General features: G+C 38.2%; 1 protein-coding gene and 1 long non-coding RNA gene across 6 annotated transcripts in view; one reads left to right on the forward strand and one right to left on the reverse strand.

Annotated features, from left to right (window-relative positions):
• Positions 1-26,054, forward strand: part of DYNC1I1 (dynein cytoplasmic 1 intermediate chain 1) — a 337,769-nt gene that overhangs the window by 241,936 nt on the left and 69,779 nt on the right. For all 5 annotated transcript variants that reach the window (NM_001278422.2, NM_004411.5, NM_001278421.2 and 2 more), the window contains 4 exons: positions 13,686-13,832; positions 18,178-18,291; positions 21,130-21,263; positions 24,788-24,932. In NM_001278422.2, coding sequence (NP_001265351.1) covers positions 13,686-13,832; positions 18,178-18,291; positions 21,130-21,263; positions 24,788-24,932 — 540 coding nt within the window. The remainder of the gene's footprint in view (positions 1-13,685; positions 13,833-18,177; positions 18,292-21,129; positions 21,264-24,787; positions 24,933-26,054) is intronic.
• On the reverse strand, positions 459-18,670 carry LOC124901700 (uncharacterized). Its single transcript, XR_007060440.1, has 3 exons — positions 18,593-18,670; positions 2,146-2,260; positions 459-510 (listed from the first exon to the last, which is right to left on the reverse strand). It is a non-coding gene; the product is annotated as an uncharacterized LOC124901700 (long non-coding RNA).

The raw sequence follows: 26,054 nt of genomic DNA on the forward strand, positions 1-26,054 counted from the left end.
AAAGGAGCCATGTTAGTTCTCTTGCTATATTATTTGGCTGGTCTCACTGTTGGTGTCATTTTCAAGTGTGGGGCTTGATTTAATAGAGACAGCCAACAACTGTGGATCTAATCAAATGGGGCTCAAAGCACATAACTTTCTGTGTGGGGAACTATAAGAAATATTTTCAAGTTTTGGAATGTTCTGACAGGAATAGGGCAGAAAATATTCAAAGGAAGCTGGAAAATCAAGCTACGGATCTTGTTTTTCAGGTCTGTTATAGTCACTTTGTGAAGTACTGCAGACAATTCATTATAATTTATCACACTGATATTCATAGATTGGATGAAGCCCAAACACAACTGAGTTAGATGCATATTAAATTACCTCTTACTTAAAAGGAGGGTGGTCTTACCAGGGCAGGATGGAGTTCATTAGCAGTCTTAGAAGCTTTCCTTAACTCTTCATTATCTGGTTTCATATTATTCCTGGCTCCACAGGATCATTGAACACCTTCCTTTTTTTCAACTCCTGGAGAATTGCACAAGGCACTTTGTGAATCTCACCAATCAACAATTCCAAAGATAAAAGACACATCATCACAAGTCTATGCACAAAGCAGAAATTACTGGGAAATCTGTTCCTATTCTTTGTATAAAATCATTTTTTTCTTTTTTAGGGAAAAGAAAAAAATACTGCCCTTGTGCATTTTAATTTAGATTTATATGAAGCAAAATGTTGCTTTTTATTATGATAATTGACTGACACATACATTGGGTGTACTCTAACATATGTTTAGGAATTTATTATCACATTTATTCTAGCTGACCCATAATATCTCCCATATAAATTCAATGAAGAACATGGTTCAGAATAGAATCCTACAGACAGATGGTCTTTAATATGCCTCTAGACTCTTTTTCCTGAACTGGAAATTTCAGCCTCTATGTAAATGCCCCTTAATGTGTACATCCTACGTCTTATGATTGAAAATAGTATTTCCCTTGTGGACTGAGAAAAATCCCTGAAGTGTTGTAAATTTAATCATTTGATCCCCCCCCAGAATTTTTATTCACATATTTTTCTTTATCTCTTGGTTTGTTATTTTGTCCTTTTAAAAACCAGCTCAAGTTGAACTCTGGGGAATTTGATTCCCATTTGTCTGTTGAATTTCCAAGTACACATAAATGTTCCGGTAAGAGGGAATTGCCTTCAGCTTAGAAATGAACCCACAAGGACACATTTCTGGTATTTTCTATGCTGCAGCCATTCTCAGTCTATGGGTCTCTTGCAAAACTTCAGACTCTTCGGTGGACACGACAATGGTGTAGAAATTGAGGGCTCAGTGAGATTTGGGATTGGTTAACAATTTAAAACATAAGTTTACCCTTGTCTCTTCCATATATCTTATAGTAAGCACTTAAATCCAGTTTTTCCAAGTTCTTTTTAGTACTTCAAAGTAGCAGTTTATCAATAGAACCACCAAGGTAGACATAGTCCTAGAGGTCACCTGGTTCATCTTTGTGCCTTAGACATAAGCATATCTAAGTCATTCTAGGCAGATAGAAAAAGACAAATCTTCACTAAGACTGTTTCTACCTTTGGCCTCATTGCTTTGTTGGGCGTAGGTCTTCACTTCTTATTGTCTTGCCCAAGGTTTATATTCACCACATAGTTTTAATATGAAGAAAGACCTATTCGTGCCAAATTATTTTATTTTCTTGCTAAATTTAGAATGATCCAACTGATTCTGTGTACTGTCACAGCTGGCAAAACCACCACAGTTATTCAGAAAAACCATGTGAAGATGCTGTGCTTAGTAGAACACTTTAGGTTTTTTTTTTTTTTTTTAATGGTCTCTCTATAATTTCTGACCTAAGTGCCTTGGTAATGATCTAATGTGGGCTAGTCCATGACTCTTTGGGTGGATCCTCCAAATGTAGATTTATTTTACCAGCAAGGGATTGAGTGACATATGGAGACTGGATGTTTTTCTTTCTTTCTCAGCCTCCTCAAACAACAAACCGTGAATCCTACAAATTCAAAAAGAAATTGTCCAAAGCAGGACACACATATCATGCAATTGTTTTTAGACACTCTTGCCAATACAACAGCTCTGAATCTGGTTAGCTTATTTTTTTGTATTGTGCTGGTAAAAAATAATACCTGATAACTGAATTCTTCTCTTGGATTCTGTAGCTGATGAACGTTATTGCTTCTTTTATATGGCCCAGGAAGGGAACACAGATTAAGAAGCTGGCTCTTTTTTTACATGCTTGCTCTGTCAAGAAAGAGAAGGAAGTACCATATTTTTGAATGCTATATTTTCCCCCTTTGCAAGGAGTTAGTACTTTTTCAATAAAAATAAATTTAATTTGTGGCTACACTTCAAGTAAGATGGTTTGATGTCAATGTACAGCAGTCTCAGCTCTGAATTTAGAGAAGTCGTGTGGCTGACTCCCTTAGTGTCACTTTCATGTGGTTGGGTGAGCCATTCTCAGAAACCCCAAACATTTCTGAAGATCCTAAACTGGAGACATTCACAAGTCTTCCCTCCCTTTTTGCTACTAATCCTTCATATTTTAACAAGCACCGAAGTTAATGCTGCCTACACTTTTTCCTGTCAAATTGGAACTCTTTCTTCTGTCTTGAGTAATCTGTTCTCTCTAGTTCATACTTTCATAAATCAAAGAGGTGGATGTCAACACACACCATATCCAAATATCAACTTCCTTTCTTTTAATTAAGCAGGATTTAGACATTTGATTTAAAGAAAACTGTTGCTTTTTAACATACAAAGGCAACCATATATTCATCTTCATCTCTTCCTGTTATTTTTTATCTCTATAAATAAAACAAAGTTTGCCTTCGCCTTGTACCACATCGCTATTCCAGTCTAGGCCTAGCAACTTGGGTTTTATATTTTCTAAAAAAGAGACAAGAAACTTTAGTGAACTGTTGGCAGTCAGTACTGAAAAAGCCACCTTTGTTCTGAACGTGCTTCAGTGAGCATTATTGTCAGATATTGATATTTTTTAACTTTTTCCTAAATGCAAGCCATCCTTTTATTTCTAAAATATGACCATTTTGCTGAAGATGATTCTCTCTCTCAATGAGACAACTGTGAAAAAAGTATGCATATTATTTCATATCATGTGAGTTCAGAAGAATGTTCCTCAGGTCCTGTGTTTATGTCTGTAAGTAAGAAGTTCCACTTTTTGTTAAAGCACACAATAGTGGCCCTATTCACTTTTCATAATAATAAATAATAATTCATATAATTATTTTGAGGAATAGACACACTCAATTTCAAAAGAACTTGTTGGATTGTAATGGCATTTTTCCTTTGGTTATATAGTGACAAGATGAAAACAAAGCATTTTCTCCCAAAGTGGCAGTCAATGCAGAGCTTGTCAGGAGTGATCCAACTGGTTTCCAAGCTGCTAGCTGTTCATTAGACTCTCTTGAAATGATTAATTGGTCTCAATCAGTTCCCAGCAGGAAGTACCCACCTCATAGTAAATATCACCACAATTGGTACTAATTAACTCTGTTATCACCTGTCGCAACTGATAGTCTGGGAGCTGAGTGAGGTGAGCGATCTCTACACCAGCAGCAGAAACCCAACTGGAGAGAGGTCAGAGACTCACTGCCAAGGCCACTGTAACAGGCAGGGAGCCCACAAGCCCTCTCTGCCATCTGGGTATGCATGAGGCTTAGCCTGTGGCTACCAGTCCCACAGAGGTGAGGAAGTAAGAAATGTAGTGCTCAGGCGGGACCCATGTCTCAAAGAGAAAAGGCACCTGCATTCAACCGATGCAAGTTTTCACAGTATATTGGTGTCAAAGTCAGCCAAGCTGTGGTTCAAATCTGGACTTTGCCACTTACTATTAATTTGATCTTAAGCCAGTGGCTTACTTCTCTGAGCCTGGGTTTCCTAATCCAAAAAATATATATAGGCAAAATTACCCACCTAGTAAGACTGATACAGCGATGTGTAGTATATGCTTGACACTCATTTAGTAACTGCACAAAAATTTTGGAATGCTGGCCGCAAGTAAATAGCCATGTAGCCGGGGATGACAGTGATAATGTTCATTAGCATTCCTGACAATAAACAAGAAAACTCCTAGTGTCTACATGGAGAGTGATGCTGAAGAGAAGTTGGGACCTAAACCTTCATTTCATTTTTATTTATCATTTTCTAAGAGCCTCATTATTTCTGTGGGGAGGAGAAACAAGGAGAGATGTAAAAACTAACAAATAACCTTGAAGGAAATTAAGGAATGGTATTCTAGCAGAGGGAAATATCATAAGTTTCTCAGTTGGGCTGGTTGTGAAAATGACACGATTCCATAAGGGAAATATCCAGACCTACATTGATGCGGAAGGAAACTTATCCCACAATGATACTGGGTCATGCTCCATGAATTAATTGTTTCAGAACTGTGTTTTCCATTTTTCTCCATGATATGAAGCACCTAGATGTGTTTGTTAAATACACAGATCACTAGATGTCTACCTTGGAAATTCTGATTAAGTATATCACAGTGAGGACTCAGGAGTTTGTGTTTTTTGTTTCTTCATTTTAATTAACAAGCAAAATTGTATATATCTATGGTATACAACATGATGATTTGTTTGATATGTATACATTGTGGAAGGGCTAAATCAAGCTATTTAATATACACATCATTCTTTGTAGTGAGAACACATAAAATCTGCTCTCTGCAATTTTTAAATATATAATACATTGTTATTAATTGTAGTCACCATGTTGTACAGTAGATCTCTTGAATTTATTCCTTCTATCTAACTGAAATTTTATATCCTTTGACTAATATCTCCCCAGTCCTTCTATTCCAGCCTCTGGTAACCAATGTGGGTTTTTAATGAACTCTCCAAGTGCTTTTTTTTTTTTATTCAGATAAGCTTAGGAACCATTAATTTGAAACAGTACTTTTCACATTTGACGGCAAAATACTAATGCCCCAGTCGCACCCCCAGAAATTCTGACTAAATTGGTATAGGATGTGGCCTGAGCATTTGAGATTTTTTAAAGCAGCCCAACTGATGCTAAGGTACAGGCGAATTTGGAGTAGTACTGATTTAGAAAATAGTCTGAAGGGTACCTGTAAATGATGAATAAGTAATAACTAGATGTAAAGTCACATCACAGATCAATAGAGTCCAGCTCTAATTCAAGGTGTGAAAGAACTGTCAAGAATAAGGACTTAAAATAGTTAAACCACGTAAGAAATGATGTAGTAACATGTGTTACTAGATCATCAGGACAACCTCCATCAACAGGACAGGACCAAGAATTACTACTGAAATTATTGGAGAAAGATTTGTTGAGCAAGAAGAGTCCTCTGGACCACTTACAGTGTTTAGAGATTTTTCTTCGAATCAGGAGGTAGTAATTTCTAATTCTATATGGGAATATATTGTTTATCTGTCTTTAAACTACATTACCTAATTCAAATCTTCCAACAGCCCCAGGGAAAATAGGCAAAGAAAATGCCTGTTCCATAGGTAGGGCAAGAACTGTCATGCTCCTATTATAAAAAAAAAAATAAGGCTTAGATACCTCATATCCATTAGAATGGCTAGTACTAAAAAGAAAGCCAAAAAAAAAAAAAAAGACAGAAAATAGCAAGTGTTGGTGGGGGACATGGAGAAATTGAAACCCTTATGTATTGTGGGTGGAATGTAAAATGGTGCGGCTGCTTGCATTAGTCTGTTTTCACACTGTTGATAAAAACATACCCGAGACTGGGAAATTTACTAGAGAAAGAGGTTTAATATGGACTTACAGTTCCACATGGTTGGGGAAGCCTCACAATCATAGTGGAAGGCAAGGAGGAGTAAGTCATGTCTTACATGGATGGCAGCAGGCAAAAATAAAAATAAAAAATAAAAATAAAAGCTCGTGCAGGGAAACTCCCCCTTATAATACCATCAGATCTTGTGAGACCCACCCGCCAGCGCAAGAACACCATGGGAAAGACCTGCCCCCATGATCCAGTTACCTCCCACTGGGTCCCTCCCACAACACGTGGAAACTCAAGATGAGATTTGAGTGGGGACACAGTCAAACCATATCACTGCTATAGAAAACAGTGTGATGGTTTGTCAAAAAATCAAAAATAGAACTACATTATGATCTTGCATTTCCACTTACAAGTATGTACCCAAAATAATTGAAAGCAGGATCTCAAAGAGTTAGTTGTGCACCCATATTCTTAGCAGCATTATTCACAATAGCCAGAAAGTGTCCATTGATGAATGAATCGATAAAACCAGATGTGGTTTATGCATGCAATGGAATATTATTCAGCCTTAAAAAGGAAAGAAATTTTGACACATGCTACAACATAGATAAACCATGGGGACATTATGCTAAGTGAAATAGCCAATCACAAAAGGATAAATATTATATGATAATACTTATATGAGGTACCTCAAGTAGTCAAATTTGTAGAGTCAGAAAGTAGAATGGTGGTTACCAGAGCCTGGTGAAGAGTGATGAGGGATGGGGGATGGGGGAGGAATGAGGAGTTAGTGTTTAACGGGTACCAAGTTTCAATTGGAGAAGATCGAAAAGTTCTGGAGATGGATGATGGTGATGGTTGCAAAACAATGTGAATGTGTTTAATGTCACTGAACCGTACACTTGAAAATGGTTAAGATGATAACAAATTTTATGAGTATTTCACCACAATTTTAAAAATAAATAATTTGAAAATGTGTCCCTCAAATATGCAAACAAACAACTTAAGGCTTAAAGGAGTCACACAGCTAGTAAGGTGTCAGAGCAGAAAGTCAGTTCTTGGGACTCTGGGTCTGCCAATCCTCCCTTTCTACCTCCCTGCCTCTCAGGAAGTAGAAATTGAAGATGATGCTCAGGAAGAAGGAAAGAGGGAGAAATAGTTGTTTGAGGAAAGAGTGATCCACGGGGTCCAGACACAGTTGTCTTGAAGATAACAAATAAGGTTGGTAAGTTTCATGAGGTCAGAAACATGTCTGCACAATTTTAACAATTAAGATATATTTTACATGCCACAAATTTACCCTTTTAAAACATACAATTTTGTGTTTTTTTAGTATATTCACAAAGTTGGACAATTAGCATTGTCTAATTCCAGAACATTTTTATCATCACATAAAGAAACCCCATATTTAGTAGTCATTCCTCATTCCTTCCAAGCCCAGCCCTAGGCAACCACGACTCAGCTTTCTGACTCAATGGATTTGCCTATTCTGGACATTTTATGTAAATGGAATCATACAATAAGTGGCCTTTTATGAGCTGTTTCAGTTAGCGTAATGATTTCAAGGTTCATCCATGCTATACCATGCATCAGTACTTTATTCTTTTTATTGCCAAACATTCCATTGTATGGATTTACCACATTTCGTTTATTCATTCCTCAGTTGAGGGACATTTGAGTTGTTTCCACTTTTTAACAATTATGAATAATGCCGCTGTGGACATTAGTGCACAAGTTTTTTGTGTAGACATATTTTTTCAATTATCTTGGGTATATACCTAGGAGTGGAATTGGTGGGACATATGATAATTCTATGTTTAACTTTTTGGGGAACTGCCAGACTGTTCTCCAGAGTGGCTGCACCATTGTACATTCCCACAAGCATTGTAATGAGTGTTCCCATCTCTCCACATCGTCACCAACACTTATTTCCATTTTTAAAAAATTATAGCCAACCTAGTGGATGTTAAATGGTATGTCATTGTGGTTTGCACACTACCTTTGTATTCTCAGCATAAAAGCCAGGACAAGGCACGTGATAGGGTCTAAATACTGAAAGCCATGAAAATTCCAAGGAATTCTCAGAAAGGTTATCAGGATGATGGGTTTCTAATCTATGGGAAATCAAATTTTAGAATCAGCTGCTTTTTATTTCTTAGTATAAAGAGTGTCAAGAAGGAGCAGGTAACTAACTCAAACTTTGCTCCAGGGCACCCCCACATTAATGGGGTGATAACTTTTGATTGATGTTTACTCCTCTTAGAATTTAGAAGAATAGCCTGTGCACCCCAGGACAGAGACTTAGAGAGAGGAAGGGAGAGTTTTAGAAGAAAAAAGAGGCTGGATATGTTGGCTCATACCTGTAATCCCAGCACTTTGGGAGGTTGAGGCAGGAAGATTGCTTGAGCCCAGGAGTTTGAGACCAGCCATGGCAACATAGCAAGACCCCATCTCTACAAAAAAATTTTAAAAATTACCTCGGTGTGGTTGCATGTGCCTGTAATCCCAGCTACTCAGGAGGCTGAGACAGGAGGATCACTTGAGCCTGGGAGCTCAAGTGAGCTATGACTTGAGCTATGACTGTGCCATTGCATTCCAGCCTGGGTGACAGAGCAAGACCTTGTCTCAATAATAATAATAATAATAATATAAAGAAAAAAAGACCCTTTCCCTTCATCTCAATTAAAGTTAAGTGCCTGACCCATGACTCATGTCGTCTTGACCAGCTTCACACCTTCCATGTTGCCAAATGCCTGGTGCTACATGATTGCCTATAGGAGGGGTTTTCAACAGCAGTCTTCTCCAAATACACTTTTCCATTAACAAAAGAAATATCTTTGTGGGTTTCTTAGGTACTCGCAGAAATAGCTACTAGTTCACTAGTAGCTAGAAGCATCTGATCTGTCTGCCTCAAAGCCCTCTGACAGTGAAGCATTTGTTTTTAGGCAAATAAAACGTCAGCCACCATTTAACAGCATATGGCAACAATACGACCAGTCCCTCCCTGAGGACCATCCTCTCCCCAGAAGAGATGGTACTTGAAATAGGCGATGCTTTTGAGAGCAGAACCCTTATTTCTCCCACCCAGGCATGATGGCTGGGGAGTGGGCAGAGTGCCACGCACGGAAGGTCACAGGCAACCAGATCAAATGGGAGCCTAGAGGGTAGGCTTCCCAGCCAGGAATGACCAAAGGTTGTTCACCCTGGGCATCTGGGTCTGTGGTTAAGGGGAAGTACCATCTCTAAGCTGGCCTGGATTAGCTCCACAAAATAGAAAACAGCCTCCACAGCCACTTAAAGACGGGTCTGGGCTAACTTGAATTGAATGTAGTGATGGTGTGCGGTGAGTGCAGGGAGACATTCCAAGCTGAATCTCACCCTCATCTCTGTGGAATTCCCTGTGAATGGTGTAAAATAAACTGACTTCTCTTTAAATAGATGATGAAGAGGTGGAACTCTGTTTAGTGGGTCAGCTCGTGTGCAAGTGAACATGTGGCTATATGGATAAGGAGGTGGTCTGTCTTTGCAGGGGTGGCCAGTAACTGGGCCATCTGCTCAGGATTAAAAAACAAACTGTTTTCTCAGGAGCCTCTGGGCTAAGGCATCTGCTAAAAACATTGGAAACTGTCAACAGAGATGGCTTGGTCTTCGAAATATAGTCTCAAAATTTTGCTTGTCCGAACTTGGGAGGAACATATTGTGCAAATAATCAAAATGTGATGCTTGCCCTCTTAGAAATTGTGGTTCCTAACGTAACACTGTCTTTGTGTTATGTGTGTTGGAATATTGACAGTCAGTCTTACCAGTTTTTCATCAAGCTTGTTACATATGAGCTCATCGTATTTCTGAGCCCCTGATTTGACCAACAATGTGGCCACATCAATGAAATCAATAGCCTTGTGAAAATAGAGTTCAACCGTAGCCTCAGGAAAAATTACTTTGATTAGTTAACATTATTGAAAGATCCTCACCAACTTTATAATTATTTTCCACTTACGTAAACTACTTGATTGGTTTTTCTTTTTTAAATATTTTGTAGAGATGGGGTTTCACCATGTTGCTCATGCTAGTCTCGAACTCCTAGGCTCAACCAATCCTCCCACCTTGGCCTCCCAAAGTTCTGAGATTACAGGTGTGAGCCTCTGCGCCCAGCTTGATTTGAATTTTTAAAGGCCATACGTTATTTTTCAAAGTAATTCTAAGACATTAACATTTTAAGGAATAAAATAAAATAGGAAATAATTAAGACTATAAAAATATCTATACACATATATATTCTTACAGTATAACAAGGCAAGGAAACTTTTTGTTTCCAGTTAATTTCATTTGTCTGCATTTTATTAGTCTCCATTTAATAATGCTTTATTATAACACTGAATAACAATATAAAATTTCAACTGCATAGGGAAGTAATGAAATTTTTTAAAATAAAATGGTGTTACTAATAATTTTTTTAGATTTTATCTCCAGAAAAATGTACTGTTAAAAATGAAGGACAAAAAAACCCCACATTTATTAGTAGTGTCAACCAATTTTTCTGAAATGTTTTTTACTTTTAACCAAATAGAGGTAATTGACAGGATGATATCATTTGCTCTTTTTATTCACAGTCAGTAAATTCTATGACAATCAGCAGCAACAGTAATGACTAGATAGGTAGCTGTGTGAACAGCAGGGGGTTGCAACAGTAAAAGGTTTCTGAGACCTTTTACTCTGAGGATTGTTGATGTAGACTTTCCAAATTAAAAGAGGAGCCCTCATTGTCCAAACTGTAGTTAAGACTATAAATATATCTATACACATATATTCTTATAGAATAACAAGGCAAGGAAACTTTTGGATGAAAAATAAAAAATTAACTCACTCATCCAAATGTTGGCCACCATTACATCAAACATCAGGGTATGTAAAGACATCTTGTGAAATGACTGAATTCTCAAGTTTACATCTAAGCAATTGAAATCTTACTACGTTAGCATTTTTACATGAATGATAGTGCATAGTGTGGTGTACCCTGGAGACCTGTGTTGAACACAGGATATGTAAATATATCTGTATTTATTTTAACATATATGTCATGTAATACATATATGTCATGTAATACATATAACATGTAATTAATATGTTGAGCTTAAGATATAAGTGAAATTGATGAACATAACTATACCTCATCTTCCAAACAGAAAATGAAAAAAAAAAGTCTAATCTTATTTATCATGGTTATATTGTAAAAATAGGTTTGCAGCAAAACAAAGTAGACTCTGGAAGCAGAACTCTGGTGCTGCAAGGTGGTGTTACTCTTTTTTAGCATTAACTTGACTTTTTATCAAATTTAAATAGAATTCTGAATTTGAGATGGGGGCTTTTGTGACATTTAAAATTTTTTGAAATGGTTTAGTAGTCCTTTGTTGGTGGTAAGTGTTGGATGAATGAATGAATGAAGAATGAACAAATTAATGAATGAACAAATAGGTATTGGAGTTCTCACTCTATGGGGTTGGGTTCTAGTTGATTGCCAACTATGTGTTTCAGTTTTATATAAATACCTCCACTGCTGGTTTTCCTCTGGTTTAGTCTCAACAAACAGTACAAGCTTGCGGGGGGGGGATATTTGCTTGGATTTAGCTGAAACACAGAAGCAATCAAGTGGTTGAATTCTGCATTTTAAAAAATTGAATGACATTCCTTTATCCATATCGATTTGAGCTTTGGTAAATTCAATTGTCGATACCACCTGGATAATTTTAAATCTTTCTGAAGCTTTAAAAAAAAGTTTCCAACGTAGCTCCAGCAACATAAGAATTTCATCAATTGAAAGCTAAGAATCATTTCTGTGGGATGTGTAAAACAAGAAGCCGACCAGCATTATTTTCTTTTTCTTTAATTCAGTATCATTATTGAGAGTTATTCTTGAACTTTATGAAAACCAGATTGGGGCATGAGCATGTTCTCCATTGAATCATGTTCAAGGAATTGAAACTGAAAATCATTCAAAGTAGGGAAACATGACATTGAAAAATAGTCTACATTCTTTATTCTCCCTCAGAGTATCTGAGGCTGTTTCTAACTAGGAAGCCTTAGGCTGATAGGAGATCTGGGTTTGGTTTCTTGTTTTTTGTCTTGTTCTGTTTTATTTTTTTTAATAGATGTTTAGTTTACTAGTCAAAAAGAGGTCATAGGTTTTTTTTTGGGGTTTTTTTGTTACTACTTTGCTGGTGTATCAGTTATGATGTTGGATCCTCTTACTCATTTGCTCCAAAAGTTGTGATTTCTCACCATTGTCCACAGAAAAAAATTCCAAATAATGTCATTCAAGGCTTTCTGCTGTCTAGCCCAGGCAATCTCTTAGTCAGACTTCCTACTATCTGATTCTTCCATGCAATCCCCTTCCCAACCAAAAAAGACTATGAGCTGCTCACAAGTCTCATTTTGCTGCCTCTAGTCCTTTTCCTTCATTATCCTATCCTTCAGGAATGCCTGTTGCTTCTCTCCACTGTTTGAATGTTCCATATATACTTCAAGGTGTGATTCATCCTCTTCCATGAGTTCTTTCCAACCATCTCACCATTTCCAGCCTCCTCTCCCCCTCCCTAACTAAAACAAATCTTCCCCTTCCATCTATCCCCCTCACACACAGAGACACACCCACACACTCCACATGCTCCTACAATTTAGTCATAGCATGTATCACATTCAAGGCTGCTACTTGGGTGTGCAAGTTGTGCTCTGCACAAGAACATCAGGCCAAAGGGACACGTGGGGATGAAAATCCATCTTACTCTCCATTTGCCAAGGCATGCACCTGCCCATACGACTGTGTTTCTGCAGAGGATACCTTTTTCTGTTTTCCACAAAGGCACCGTATGGACTGGTAGCCCATCTGTTCATCTGCATCCATGTTTTTTAGTTCCCTTTCCCAGAGCACAAATTTGCTGAGGGCAGTGACTACCCTTTTATTCCTACCATTCCTGGTACAGTGCCTTCCTTATACATGGTAAGTTCTCAGTGACTTCATTTAATTTAATTAAGGCATGAAATGTATTGACTAAAAACAATTACTTTAGCTTATAAATGCAAATATGAAAAGTACCGTAGGAATCAAAATGGTCTTAGCAGATGCAAAACAGTTACTTCTCTGACTTTAAGTGCATTATGGTTCTATCTCAGCTAAGTAATTTCCTACAAAATGTACTGCCCAGTAGTCTTTTATGGAGCTTCAGAAACCACATTTGTGACAGACTATGACAGACCATGGCAGAGCTGGACTGAGATCCATTTCTGGTTGTTTGTTAAAATAGGCAAGGAATAACATTAAGAATTTTCTGAAGTGGGCAGAATTAAGATCAGGAAGAATGCCCATGGGAGGTGAGGGAATTTTAGGAGGAGCCAATTGGATCAGTCTGAGGTCAGTATACTTCCTGGAAGTCTACATTAAGGGAAAAACAAAAAGAAGACCTCATCTTAAAGGCCTTGAATCTAGAATTACTCTGCCTTTACCAACACTGCAAATTGTGTAACTTGATGTGGCCATGCTCTCAAAGTAAAGAATTGCTTAGTAAAGGCTTTAGTGGAGAATTAATATTAGTTCTGTTGCAATTCTATGTGACAAATGGGAAATGTCCATAAAGCAAGATTTACAGACCACAAAACAATGATGTACTTAAGATAGGTTTCATACCTATTTGATAAAATGGACAGGACTTCAAATTTCAGATTTCAAGCAGTAACCATTGGTCAGCCTCTCCAAAGAAAGTCCTGTGCCTATGTACAAAATTTCTTAGTAACTATGCACTTTTACAGTCCCAGCTTTAAATTATTTTTTTGTTTTCCAGGATGTGTTGAGTTTATGTGATGAACTGTTTTCAGGAAGAAACAAGTCACCTACAACCATTTCACATTGCATCTCTCTCTCTCTCTCCTTTTCCCTGACAGTCCTCTGTGATGTCGGTCTGCTTCGCCCGTTTCCATCCTAACTTGGTGGTTGGTGGGACTTACTCGGGCCAGATTGTCCTCTGGGACAATCGCAGTCATCGAAGGACTCCAGTGCAGCGGACACCCTTATCAGCTGCTGCACACACGGTAATGCAAACTTTTGCCATATCCCTGTGAGCCGCCAGGCCCTGAAAGAGAAAATAACTCTACTCAAAAAAGTATGGATGTTTTCAGTAATGCCAAGTTAGGAGGATCTACTTTATTATGATTGAATCCTGACCAGCTAAAAGTTGAGTGAAAAGTAGATGAAGGAAGCACTGGCTTTAGGGATGTCTCTTAATAACCTACATGTGCTAGCATGTAGGGAGGATCTCCTTGGCTCTCCCAAAGGCCACCAGTGAAGAGAAACCTTGGAAGAGGCATCTGTGGAATTGTTTTCCCAAAGAAACCCTATGCATTTACATTATAAGGTGGAAACACGTATTTTCAAATAGATCCTGAAGAGTAAGGATTTCACATCAAGGGATGATATATGGGACTTTTGCCAACTGGCCTTTTCCATGTGTGATTTGAGAGAGTACTTTGACTTTAAATTCTGGAATGTGTGGTGTAAGTCTCAACATAAAGTCTACAGTGACAATATAATCCCTGGGGTTAAAAGTCAACATCTCAAAACCATTACCCATAATTTAGTAGAAGAGGTTCAGTATAGTGTTCATAAGACAACTACTCTGTCATTTCCTTTAAAAGAATGACAGGTGTGTACAGCAATTGTTCAGAGGAATGAGAAGACAGGCGTGTCTCCATCAATCCTTGCTACCTTGACACTCAGGGTAACTGATGTTCTTTCTCTGAAATGCCCAAATTATGCCCAAGGATACAGCTTTACTCTTGTTTTCAATTTCCTTAATGTGCTTGCTGCATTTGTTTCATATGCTGGACTCAAAAGCACTCTGGCATGAAAAAGGACTGCCAGCTGTTTAGCTAAGTCCATGAGGAGGAAAAATCTCCTACTCTTGTAAGATTATCAATGGGAAATGACAAATACCAAGTCAGCCCCAATTCTGATTGACTGGGGCCAAAGACACTTGCAGGTGAAACTAGTTCTTGGGAATCTTGGGAAATTGCTCTTGCCTGCCCCATTTCCCCAAACTAATAACAGAAAATTGTGGCCCAGGAGAAGGTGGGCTTGATGCAGGTGTTTGGTGAAGTAGTGTGAAACCATGCCTTGGCCCTGTTTGGATGGCTGGTGTATTTCTGAACATACCTTCTGAAATTTCCAAAATTGTAAATCCAAATGTTAGAACATTTAGCAGTAAGCTTTTGGGGAAAATTCAAAACCAGGAGCTCTTCCAAAAAATTAACATTTCTTTTGTGAGTAACTTAGAGTGTGATCATCACAACTAAAATACTATTATTATCAAACTTACTGATGTTATTTCTGTTAGAAAATAAAATAGGCCAGGCATGGTGGCTCACACCTCTAATGCCAGCATTTTGGGAGGCCAAGACAGGTGGATCACTTGAGGGGTTCGAGACCAGGCTGGCCAACATGGAGAAACGCTGTCTCTACTAAAAATACAAAAAGTAGCTGGGTGTGGTGGTGCACGCCTGTAATCCTAGCTTCTTGGGAGGCTAAGGCATAAGAATCGCTTGAAACCAGGAGGCAGAGGTAGGAGTGTGCCAAGATTTTACCACTGCACTGCAGCCTGGGCAACAGAGGGAGACTTCCTCTAAAAAAAAAAAAAGAAAGAAAAAGAAAGGAAAAAGAAACAAAACTTGTCCACTTTTCGCTTTTGCTGTTTTGTTGTTGTTGTTGTTGTTGTTTTGGTTTTTTTCAGGGGGATTTTGTTTGTTTGTTTTCTCTAATCTATAGCTAAAAGTGAACAGTTAATTTTGTGACTGTCTTTCAACTTTCACTATTGGCTGACTGATTGGTACCAGGATCAAAAAGGAAAAAGAGGCCCACCACAGATTACTCACTAATTTCCTTTCACACCCACCACACATATGCATTTGAGACAACAGGAAATCATAAGTAAAACAAAATCCCTCAGGCACACAGTAAGTTTATTTCCAAGATAAATAAAAACAATCTGGCATCTATACTGGAAAAATGGGTATACTGTAGCTTTCTTCTTCCTTAATGGTAGAGTTGTGTGTGTGTGTGTGTGTGTGTGTGTGTGTGTGTGTGTGTGTGTGTAGGCATGCTCCAGTGTCTGCTTCTGTTTTGGTTTCATTACACCTCTTTTTTCTCTTAAACTGAGTTTTATTACTCATGGAAGCACAGGCCAGTAGTGCTGATTAAAGCCTGGGAGGGGCTGCCACACACACTTTCTCCGGGCACATGGCTCTACACATTCTTCTAGACTTGCTTTCTTTCTCTGCTGGACCTTTCTGAGTCTTAATCCATTAGTGTTTAATGATTTGTGTTGATGCTCAGTGGTTATCAAAGAAGCCCCACTGGACTCTTGTTGAAAAACAAGATGGATTTCAGGTTCATAACAGTATTTGGACCCTGCCTTCCCATTCTTCAGTTTTACTAAGTCTATACCATTTTCAGGTGAAAATTTGTTACATCCAATCTTCCATTTGATTTCCACACAGAGGTTAGCATGCTGTGTGGCTCCGGGCTTGATAATACACTGCCTGGGGCTCTACATACACCAGAGACTTGGGAAAGAGCATTGCCTACAATCCCACAACCAGTCAGCCTTCCTGATACTTAGAGAACTGATTGGGATAACATTTAGCTTCAGATCTCTGCTGTACTTACTATGTGCAGATCCACTAAGGCTGACTCATTTGGAAGTTTCAGTAGGGACATGGTGTGAAAGACATAGGGACTTAGCTGACTGTCCATCAGCACGGGGGAAAGAGGTGATATAATTGTCAAAAAAGCAGATGTAATCTTAGCATGCATTAAATGCAGGCATATTTTTTATCACATGAGAAGTGATAATTCAATGCTACCCAGGTTTCTATATTCTGCTGGTCAGAATATAGGTAGACAGTTCTGTTTTATTCTCAGAACCTCACTGGAAGAGGAATCAGACAAAATACAGCATTTTCAAAAGAGATTCACCAGGATAGGAAAGGTTTTGAAAACCAGGTACCCAAGGAACAGATGAAGGAATTAGTGACAGTCTGGGTAAGAAAAGATTTGGCAGGGAGAGGAGTAACAGGGAACAACTATCTATAAATATTCAAAAAGCTGTACTGTTTTGACTTGATTAGTTTGGTTTGGTCCCACAGGGCACTGCACTGGAAGTATCTCCTTGAACTTTCTTTATCCCCATTAGTGGAAGAAAAAACTCCCCCAGGATACTACGAAAACTGGCTGCCCTTTAAGGAAGGTGTTTAAGCAGAGTTTGGACCACCTCTTGGTTGAGGCAGATGAGTAGCTACATTAGATGATTATTACCACTCCTTCTGACCAGCAGTTTATATGATAATAATAGTTTGGGAACCATCCTTTATACAATAGCAACTTTCCAATATTAAATATTGTTTCATTGTAGTTGTGGCTAGGTATTATGGACAGTAACTCACCAAGGGTAAGACTGATACTGTCAGCTATTTGCACAAAGAAGCACCAAGTAAGTGTGGTTTGGCCACTGGTGGCTGAACTGCCTGAAATCTAACCCAAATTGCTGTAGGTTCTGCTCATAGTAACCTTCCATTTTGTGTTTAATACACAGCTGCAAATGATTTTAGCCTACCGTTTAGAATTCTGCAGAGTGGGATAACCCACTAGAGTATGACAGAGGGTTACAACATCTTGTGTATGGTTCCTGGGATGTATAAATGACCTTTCTCAATGCCCTGGCCAAATCTAAGCCTCTATACTACTGCAAACGGTATTTTGAAAAATAAATATATTATTATCCTAGATTTTGCAGTAACATAGAAGAACCTAATTTTATCTCACCAGGTACATTGTGCCAATAATCTCACCACTAGTATCTCTCCCCCAGATTAAAATGGTTATGAATATTAACCACTTTTTATAAAGAATGTTAACAAATGTTTGGCATTGTGACTATAATGCATTAAACTCCAGATTTAGTAACATGTATTCCTTCCAAAAGTCAGTAGTTCTACCCTTTTGAAGACTGTCTTTTTCCATCACTCTTGTTGAGCTTAGAAGCCAAACTATGCGGTGGAGACTTATTCAAGTAGTTCAAATTCACCTCCCTGCATTGCCTCTGCCCCATCAAACCTCATTTGTTCTAGCGTCCTTCTGTTCCACTGCATTGCATTCTGACTGAGCAAGGTGAAGCTTTATAAGTATTTCCACTATTATGTGTTGCTGCCAGAGCTTTTAGAAAGAAATCAGGTTCAAATCAAAAGCGGCAAATGACCTGACGCTTGTATTATAGTAGGATTATGTTACTCTTTAATCCTTGTTTTAGAGTAATGTGTTTGACACTCAAATGTAAGCATTTCCTCTTGGATCTGTCTCTGATCCTCTTTGTTTATGTTTTTGCAGCATCCCGTGTACTGTGTAAATGTTGTTGGGACCCAGAATGCTCATAACCTCATCACTGTCTCCACTGATGGCAAAATGTGTTCCTGGAGCCTGGACATGCTCTCAACTCCACAGGTGGGTTTGTTTTTCCCTACACATAACACCATCCTGGTTAAAAGAGATACCTACTTAATGGAACATAGTTCCTAAAAGCCAAACCCTCACATCCTAGAGGAGCTAAAACAAATGGATGCACTTGAAAGAGTGGGGCCTGCTTTCAGCAATCTTCTCTTGAAGCCAAAACCCATTTCCTTTACCACAAATCATGTAATTATTGTAATACATTAATCCTTAGGTCAGTTTCAAGTGAAAATGAAATAATCCATTCTAAATCATAGTAATTATGGAAGTTGCCTATGGTATGAATTGCACTTACCCTACAGCATTGTTGAACAGATGCAGACGAGGTTGGAGCTCAGCAGAGCAATCCCTTATGGGTACTTGCATTGGAGGGAAGGTAACCCAGCAAAACAGAAATCCAAGCCCTTGCTTGTATCCGTAGCCTAGACAACAGCCTGTGTGTATGAAGAAACCATCTGTTTTCCCCTCTGGAATGTTTTTTAGTATGGCTCCTGTCATTCCTTGCTCAGTAAATGAGAAGTCAAAAATGAAAAAGTTCCAAAGTCTGCAAACCAATACTGATTGCAACAGTGGGGACCAAACAAAGGAATAGAAGTGGGAGAGGCTGTCAAAGGGAGACAACTAAATGCAACTTGCAAGATATGCATATGTAGACAAACACACAAGACATGCGCATACACACATGAACACATACACACACGCTTTTTCCATATTTCTTTGTGTGAAAAAACAGTATTCACTATCCTCCAACCAAAAACAACAGAGAAGTCATTGTTATAGACTTTGACAAAAATGTAAGGAAACATGGAGAAAACTGCAAAACAATATCTAGGAGATAATTCTCAATGTTAACATTCCCATATTCTTTCCCAGGATAAAAACCCTAGAATGTCTCTCACACAATTTTAGAAGAAGTTAAAGTTTCAAAATGTACATAAGGAGACAGGGCACGGTGGCTCACACTTGTAATCCCAGCACTTTGGGAGGCCGAGGTGAGAGAATCATTTAAGCCTAGGAGTTCAAGACCAGCCTAGGCAACAGAGCAAGACCCTTTTTCTACTAAAACTTAAAAAGTTAGCTGGGTGTGCTAGCACATGTCTGTAGTCCATGTTCCTTGGGAGGCTCAGGCAGGAGGATTGCTTAAGCCCAGGAGTTCGAGGTTGCAGTGAACTATTATCACACCACTGCACTCCAGTCTGGGTGACGGAGTGAGACTTTGTCTCTTGAAAAAAATAATTATTATTATTATTATACACACACACATGCACACACACAAAAGGAAATATGGAAACTGTGAAGAACCAACCTCCTTTAAGCCTCCACAAAATACGGATGTAAAGAATACTACGTTTTTTTAAAATAATTTTAGGGAGAAAAAGGAGAGAGTGCTAATAAGCTGCTTACAATTGAAGTTCCACTATTTTCGCTGATCTTTAACATTATAGAGGGCTGGAGGGATTGGTATTTTATGGCTTTGTCTTAAAATTCTCAGCAATGTTTTGTTTTCTTTTAAAAGCCTGAAGATTATAAACAGACATAAGAGCAAGCCCACTATTTAGGAATTTTTAATTGCCCATTTTGCTCATTACACATATTTATTTAGGTTAAAACCAGTAATATGGTGGCTCTAAGTCCGTTTGTATTAGTTTTAGCATGCTCACAGACTCCTGTGTCTATACAAAGATGGAGGATTTCGTGACATGGCTTCCATGGATGGCAGGGAGGAATAGGGGCATCCAACAGTTGGCCTGGTCTTTCTCTCTCCCAAATGGGTAAAGGGACTTTTCCTTCCTTGCTGCTAATTTTAGTGATGAAGCAGATCATTGGATGATCCAGTTATCTGTATGACATAGTCACAGCATCCTCTCCTTTATCCCAGTTGCTGATGTGCACCCTATGTGTGGATATCACAAACTTTGAACACATCACAGGATCAGAATCAGTCTGTGTTGCTTAGACTGTTAGCTTGCACTTTCAATTTAATGGACTCCTTGGCTGAAATAGTTTATTTGCACAAGAAAGACTAAACTCTCAAGCAACTATAATGATATGATACCTCAGAATGATTTTTTAAAAATTATTTCAGATGCACAAAATAGGCTATTTGATGTAAATAGCCAGAAATACTCAGGGATATTAGTTATAATTGATTATTCTTTTCTGTCATTAAACTTAACTCAGCAGTATATCTTTTAAGATTAGGAATCTTTAATTCTCAATTTTAAAAAATCATATTATAAAATAAAGACTCCCATTTGCTATTTTAAAGACGTATTTAAATATTGTTCTTTTCAGGCTTATAGCCTATTCACCCAATGGCTGCCCTGCATGAAATCTAGTCCCTGTTGAAATCTGGTTTTTATGACCTGAGTGACAACTTTCTGGTTTTAGTCCATGGAGGACACATACTCCTGCTTTGACAAATTTGCTTAGTACATCTGATATTAATACATGTGTATTCTCACAAACAATTGATTTTGAAAATGTTTGTAAATACAAGGGTATTGTGTGTTTTATTAAAGCTTGGAGCTGACAAGTGTAACCATTATTATCTTTAGTTTCTGCACCATTAGTTTCAAAATTCTCACCTGTCATCTTTGCCTGACTTAAGAAGCAGCAGCACATGCTGATGAAATCCAGCCGGCTTGAAACCAGAGATCCACAGAAGCATGAATGTCAGGGGCAGTAAAGCATGGTTTCTGGCACAGCCGGGGTCTTTTGTAACGCTGTGTGAAAAGCAAACACATGATTTAGCCAAATGATTTTTCCGTGCTATCTTTGGCATGGCAAGGAGTTGACAGATGGAAATGTAACCACACCGTGTTTTGGTAGGAGAGCATGGAGCTGGTGTACAATAAGTCCAAGCCTGTCGCTGTTACCGGAATGGCTTTCCCAACGGGAGACGTCAATAACTTCGTGGTTGGCAGTGAGGAAGGTACAGTCTACACGGCTTGTCGTCATGGAAGGTGATTTTTCTGTTTCTTTACTGATGACATGTTCTTCATTTCCGAAAGTCTGTTATCACATTCTGGATTTTAACCACCTTGCATTATGAGAAAGCATCTCTGGAAAAATGGAAAGCACGACTTCAACTCTTCATTATCTTAAAGAGCTGCATCTGCTCTGGTCATTAGCTGTTCATAAGACTGTGGTGGTTCACACTGCCTTGAGGGAAAAAAGCTCGAGCTTCTGAGCCTATCATAACAGACCACTTGCACCTTCCCAGCATCTCCGCATACCTTCAGGGTCTAGCCATGTGCCCATCAGAGATAACAATCCCCAAATATTTCTTATCCCTCCATGCCTCAATGAGTTTGCATACTCAACTTCTTTTACCAGTTCTAGCATTTCTCCCTTTTTGGCCTGGTTAATTCCTCCTCATCATTCAAGAGCCAGCACAGAGATCATTCCATGTGAAACATTTTCTGACTCTTGGGCAAAGAAAACCACTCCCACCTTTAAGTCCCATAGAATTTTCAATTCTCTTATTCATTCACTCTTCCAAGGAATATTTACTAAGAACCTACCATGTGCCAGGCATCATCAAAAGGATACATTAAAGAACAAGACAGACCTAGAGTTCATATTCTAGTTGAGGGTAAAATACTAATAAGCAAATAAATATATAGTTTAGGATGGTAAGTGCAATGGAGAAAATTAAAGTAGAATAAGTGGGATAGGACTATAGGCTGTCAAGTTGACAATTTCATATATTTTCCTTATGCTTCTATAATAGCATTAATCGTATTTTAGTTTATTCATTCATCTGCCATTTTTCTCTTACTACATTATTTCCATTTCATCTTTGATTTCCTGCACAGTACCTAGGACATAGTAAGTGAGGAGCTAAAAATATATATTGGGGATAAAGAAATGATATATAATGTAATCCATCCAATCTAAAGAAGTGCCTTAAAAGCTTTCCTCCCAGTCAGATGGGTCAGAACAGAGTGAGTCACACAAACCACCATGCAGTTCCCAGGTGATAAGAACTCTACCTTAACTGAGAGATTCACAATGCCCCTGGAAAAGAGTTGTCAGTATAAAGTGGAATCCAATAGTTTGGACTAGATTGTAAAATTGCATGCAAAACTTAACAGGTGGCCTCATGTCTTTTGAAAGGGTCACTATGTTCACACTGGTGCTTAATTTGTCTTTTACTTTAGTAGTTCTTATTCCATTGATTTTTTTTCATCTCTTGCACTCATCCGAGGCTATTAAGATTTAATGAAGAACCACAAATTGTTCCAAGTTCATATCCCTGTGTTTTTGTGATTTGTAGAAATGACAAGCATCCATGGCTCAGCTATGTGACTTTTTCCATTCAAACTATACAAGCTGTTATGTTCCTGCTGTTCTGCACGTAGAAACAAGCAGTATTTGTCCCCTCACATGATTCAAAGATGACTTAGGAAGATATGCCTCACAGTCCATTCCCAATGATCCTCCTTCATAAACCCTGGCTAAAACCACACATTAAAGCTTTATCAAAGCATAAAAATATTTGATAAAGTTATTCATTCATAAATATATTTGTTGTATGCCTACTTTGAGCAAAGTGCATTGTTAGGTTCTGCAAGGCCTGCAGACGTCATGTAAACCTGGTTTCTCTCTTCAAAATAACTGATGACGGTGAGAAAGATAAATACACAAATATCTGGAACATGAGTAGAATGTCTTAAGTGGCATGAGAGGCATAGAGAGTATAGTAGGCCAGACCTGGAGTCACAGCTTTATCTATATGCGTATTAGAATCAACATGGCATAGGTTCAGTTAACTTAACCCATGGTTTTACCTAGGTCCTTGATTATCTACGAAGGCTATAGAATACATTCATTGATAATTTCCAGATTTTTTTCATTGCTATAAAGTGAATAACATTTTACATGATGAACATTCTTGTTCTGTGGCTACTGTACTTTCTAAGCACTATCAGAATATGCACTTTGGTTCAAAAGAAGGGTCCCTATGGCACACACCACAAATCTTTTTACAACAAGCTGAATTTTGCTTTACATTGGTCCATCCATCTGAAATATAAAATACAGACCTTAGTAACATTGTAACGTAGCAGGCATTGGCTTTGTAGTCATTCTAAATGGGTCATATAGGTCTATGGGGGAGAAGCAGGGGATTGCTATTTTTCACCTAACATAGAGAAGGTGCAAATCCACTTCCATAAATTAAACAAGGTCCTCATTTTGCACCCTATAAATCCTTTCAGGATGCTGTTAAGAGCAAGTGGAGTCTCACCAGGGGCCACTTCAAAGATCAGTTCCTCGGGTTCATTAGAACAAATTTAAATGATCATGTGTGGAACTGCTCTTAGCAGTTTCACTGGGCATAATTTTTGAGTGCCTGTTACATGGAACACGCACTGCCACACTTTGCTCATGATTCCAAATTTTGCTAAGCACATTGACATTTATTGGTGCTCCAGAGGCCCAAATGTTTTAATAACTGAGCTCGTTTTTATTCTTAGTGACATAATATTAGGATTCTACAATTCCTACATATTTGTCATATTTATAACCTCATGCACATGAATATTTTAAATATAGCATTTTTGGTATGTTTTCTCACATCTTCCTAATTGTATATGATTGCATGCAGAATACTATGTGATAATAGAGGGCTGCAAATAATAACAGCTTAGTTAAATAAGCAAGATATGTCTGTGTGTAATTTTTTAAATGTCTATCATTATTTCTCAAATGTGCTTCTGTTTTAAAAAAGGACTGAGACATAAGTTTGTCTCTTTTTCTTAGCTAGTTTATTCAACAAATATTTATTGAGCACTTACTATATGCCAGACACTTGGCAACAAGAAAGACAAGATACTTGCCCGTATGGGATTTACAGTGGATATGTAAATCTGTCTTCTGTTTTCAGTAAAGAGAAAACATTATTTTCTCCATATTATATTTAAATTATGTGCATTATTTTGTGGTGACAAGGGTTTCCACAAAGTGTTACATTTTCAGCTATGTTAAAGTAATTTAAGAAATTTACTTGAAAAAAATAAATGATTGTTCCTTCAAGGATGGATGGAGTTTTATAGTCAATAGGTTCCCCAAAAGGAGATAAAGCAGACCATGTGCAAAATGCTATCTCAAGAATAAAATAGTCTTATAAATATAAAAGCTTCAGAGACCTAAGTGTATTTGTTTCCATTAAAATAGCTGCATCAGCAATGATAGGCTTTGAGGAATTCTGCAAAAAGAATTAAATAATAAATATTGATATTAAATTCTGTATTTTAAAAAGATTTCATTGCCCTACATTGTTTTTAAATAATGAAAAATAGGGTAACATATTTGCAAACAATTTCTTTCAGGATAACTGTAAAAATGATTTCATTTTGGTGGTGTGTGGTTGTTCTAAATTATGGAGATGCAGAGTTGAGGGTTTTTTGTTTTGTTTTGTTTTTAAGCAATCATTGCTTTTCAGAGGTCACTGGAATTCTGCTCATGTGTGCTCTTCCTACAGCAAAGCAGGTATTGGTGAGGTCTTTGAAGGTCACCAAGGGCCAGTGACAGGAATTAACTGCCACATGGCAGTGGGCCCAATCGACTTTTCTCACCTGTTTGTCACATCATCATTTGACTGGACTGTCAAACTGTGGACCACCAAGGTAAGAATATCTTGACTGAAATTCTCAGATAATACATAAGGGCAGAGGATGGTTTTTCATTCCCTGGAAACAGTTGTCCCTAAAGCCTCTTCCAGGCAACCTGGCATTGGGAATTCATATACCTTCTGGTGAGCTCAGTCTACCTCAGAGCTAGTTAAGTCCATTTTATTTACTTTTACACATATAGGTAATACTTGAAAATATTCTAACTATAAAAAATTCAAACAATTCAAATAATGATAAAGCTGCAGTCCTCCTCTACCTACCCCAACCCCAACCCCATCCACAACACCCCCTTCACTGCCTGCACCTCAGTCCCCTCCCCAGGGGTAAACTTTTATCAGTTTCATGTCTATGTTCTGGAGCTTGGTGGTATCTACTTACTTACATATGTACCTATGGAAATATATGATTTGGGACTTGGGTTTTTTTTTGTTTGGTTCGTTGATTGGTTGTTTATTTTTATTTTGAGCTATTGGAAGTTTTTAAGCTGGTAAATGGCCCTATGTTATGTTTTTAAAGGTAATTCTGGCTGGGAGCTGTGGCTCACATCTGTAATCCCAGCACTTTGGGAGGCCGAGGTGGGTGGATCGCTTGAGGTCAGGAGTTTGAGACCAGCCTGGCCAACATGGTGAAGCCCCATTTCTACTAAAAATAGAAAAATTAGCTACATATGGTGGTACATGCCTGTAGTCCCAGCTACTCTCGAGGCTGAGGCAGGAGAATCACTTGAACCTGTCAGGCAGAGGTTGCAGTGAGCCGAGATTGGGCCACTGCATTCCAGCCTGGGTGACAGAGCCAGACTCCATCTCAAAATTAAAATAAAATAAAATAAAATAAAATAGTAAAATAAAATATAATTCTCTCCATGCTTGAGAGCAAGAAGAAAAGCTGAGACCACTTGGAAGGAAGGCACAATAATCTAGGAAAGAAATGACAGTGACTTAAACCAGTAGTCTGAGATGGAGAGAAATAAATGCATTTGAGAACCATTTAAGAGATAAAAGCCACAGAAACTGGTGATTGATTTGATAGAAGGAAGGTAGGAGAGGGAGTCATCAGCAGATAACCCAGGTTTAAGACCTGGGCAGCTGGTGAGTGTAGCACTCACTGCACTGGAGA

This window comes from Homo sapiens, chromosome 7 (assembly GCF_000001405.40).
Source record: "Homo sapiens chromosome 7, GRCh38.p14 Primary Assembly".
NCBI classification, from domain to species: Eukaryota; Metazoa; Chordata; class Mammalia; order Primates; family Hominidae; genus Homo; species Homo sapiens.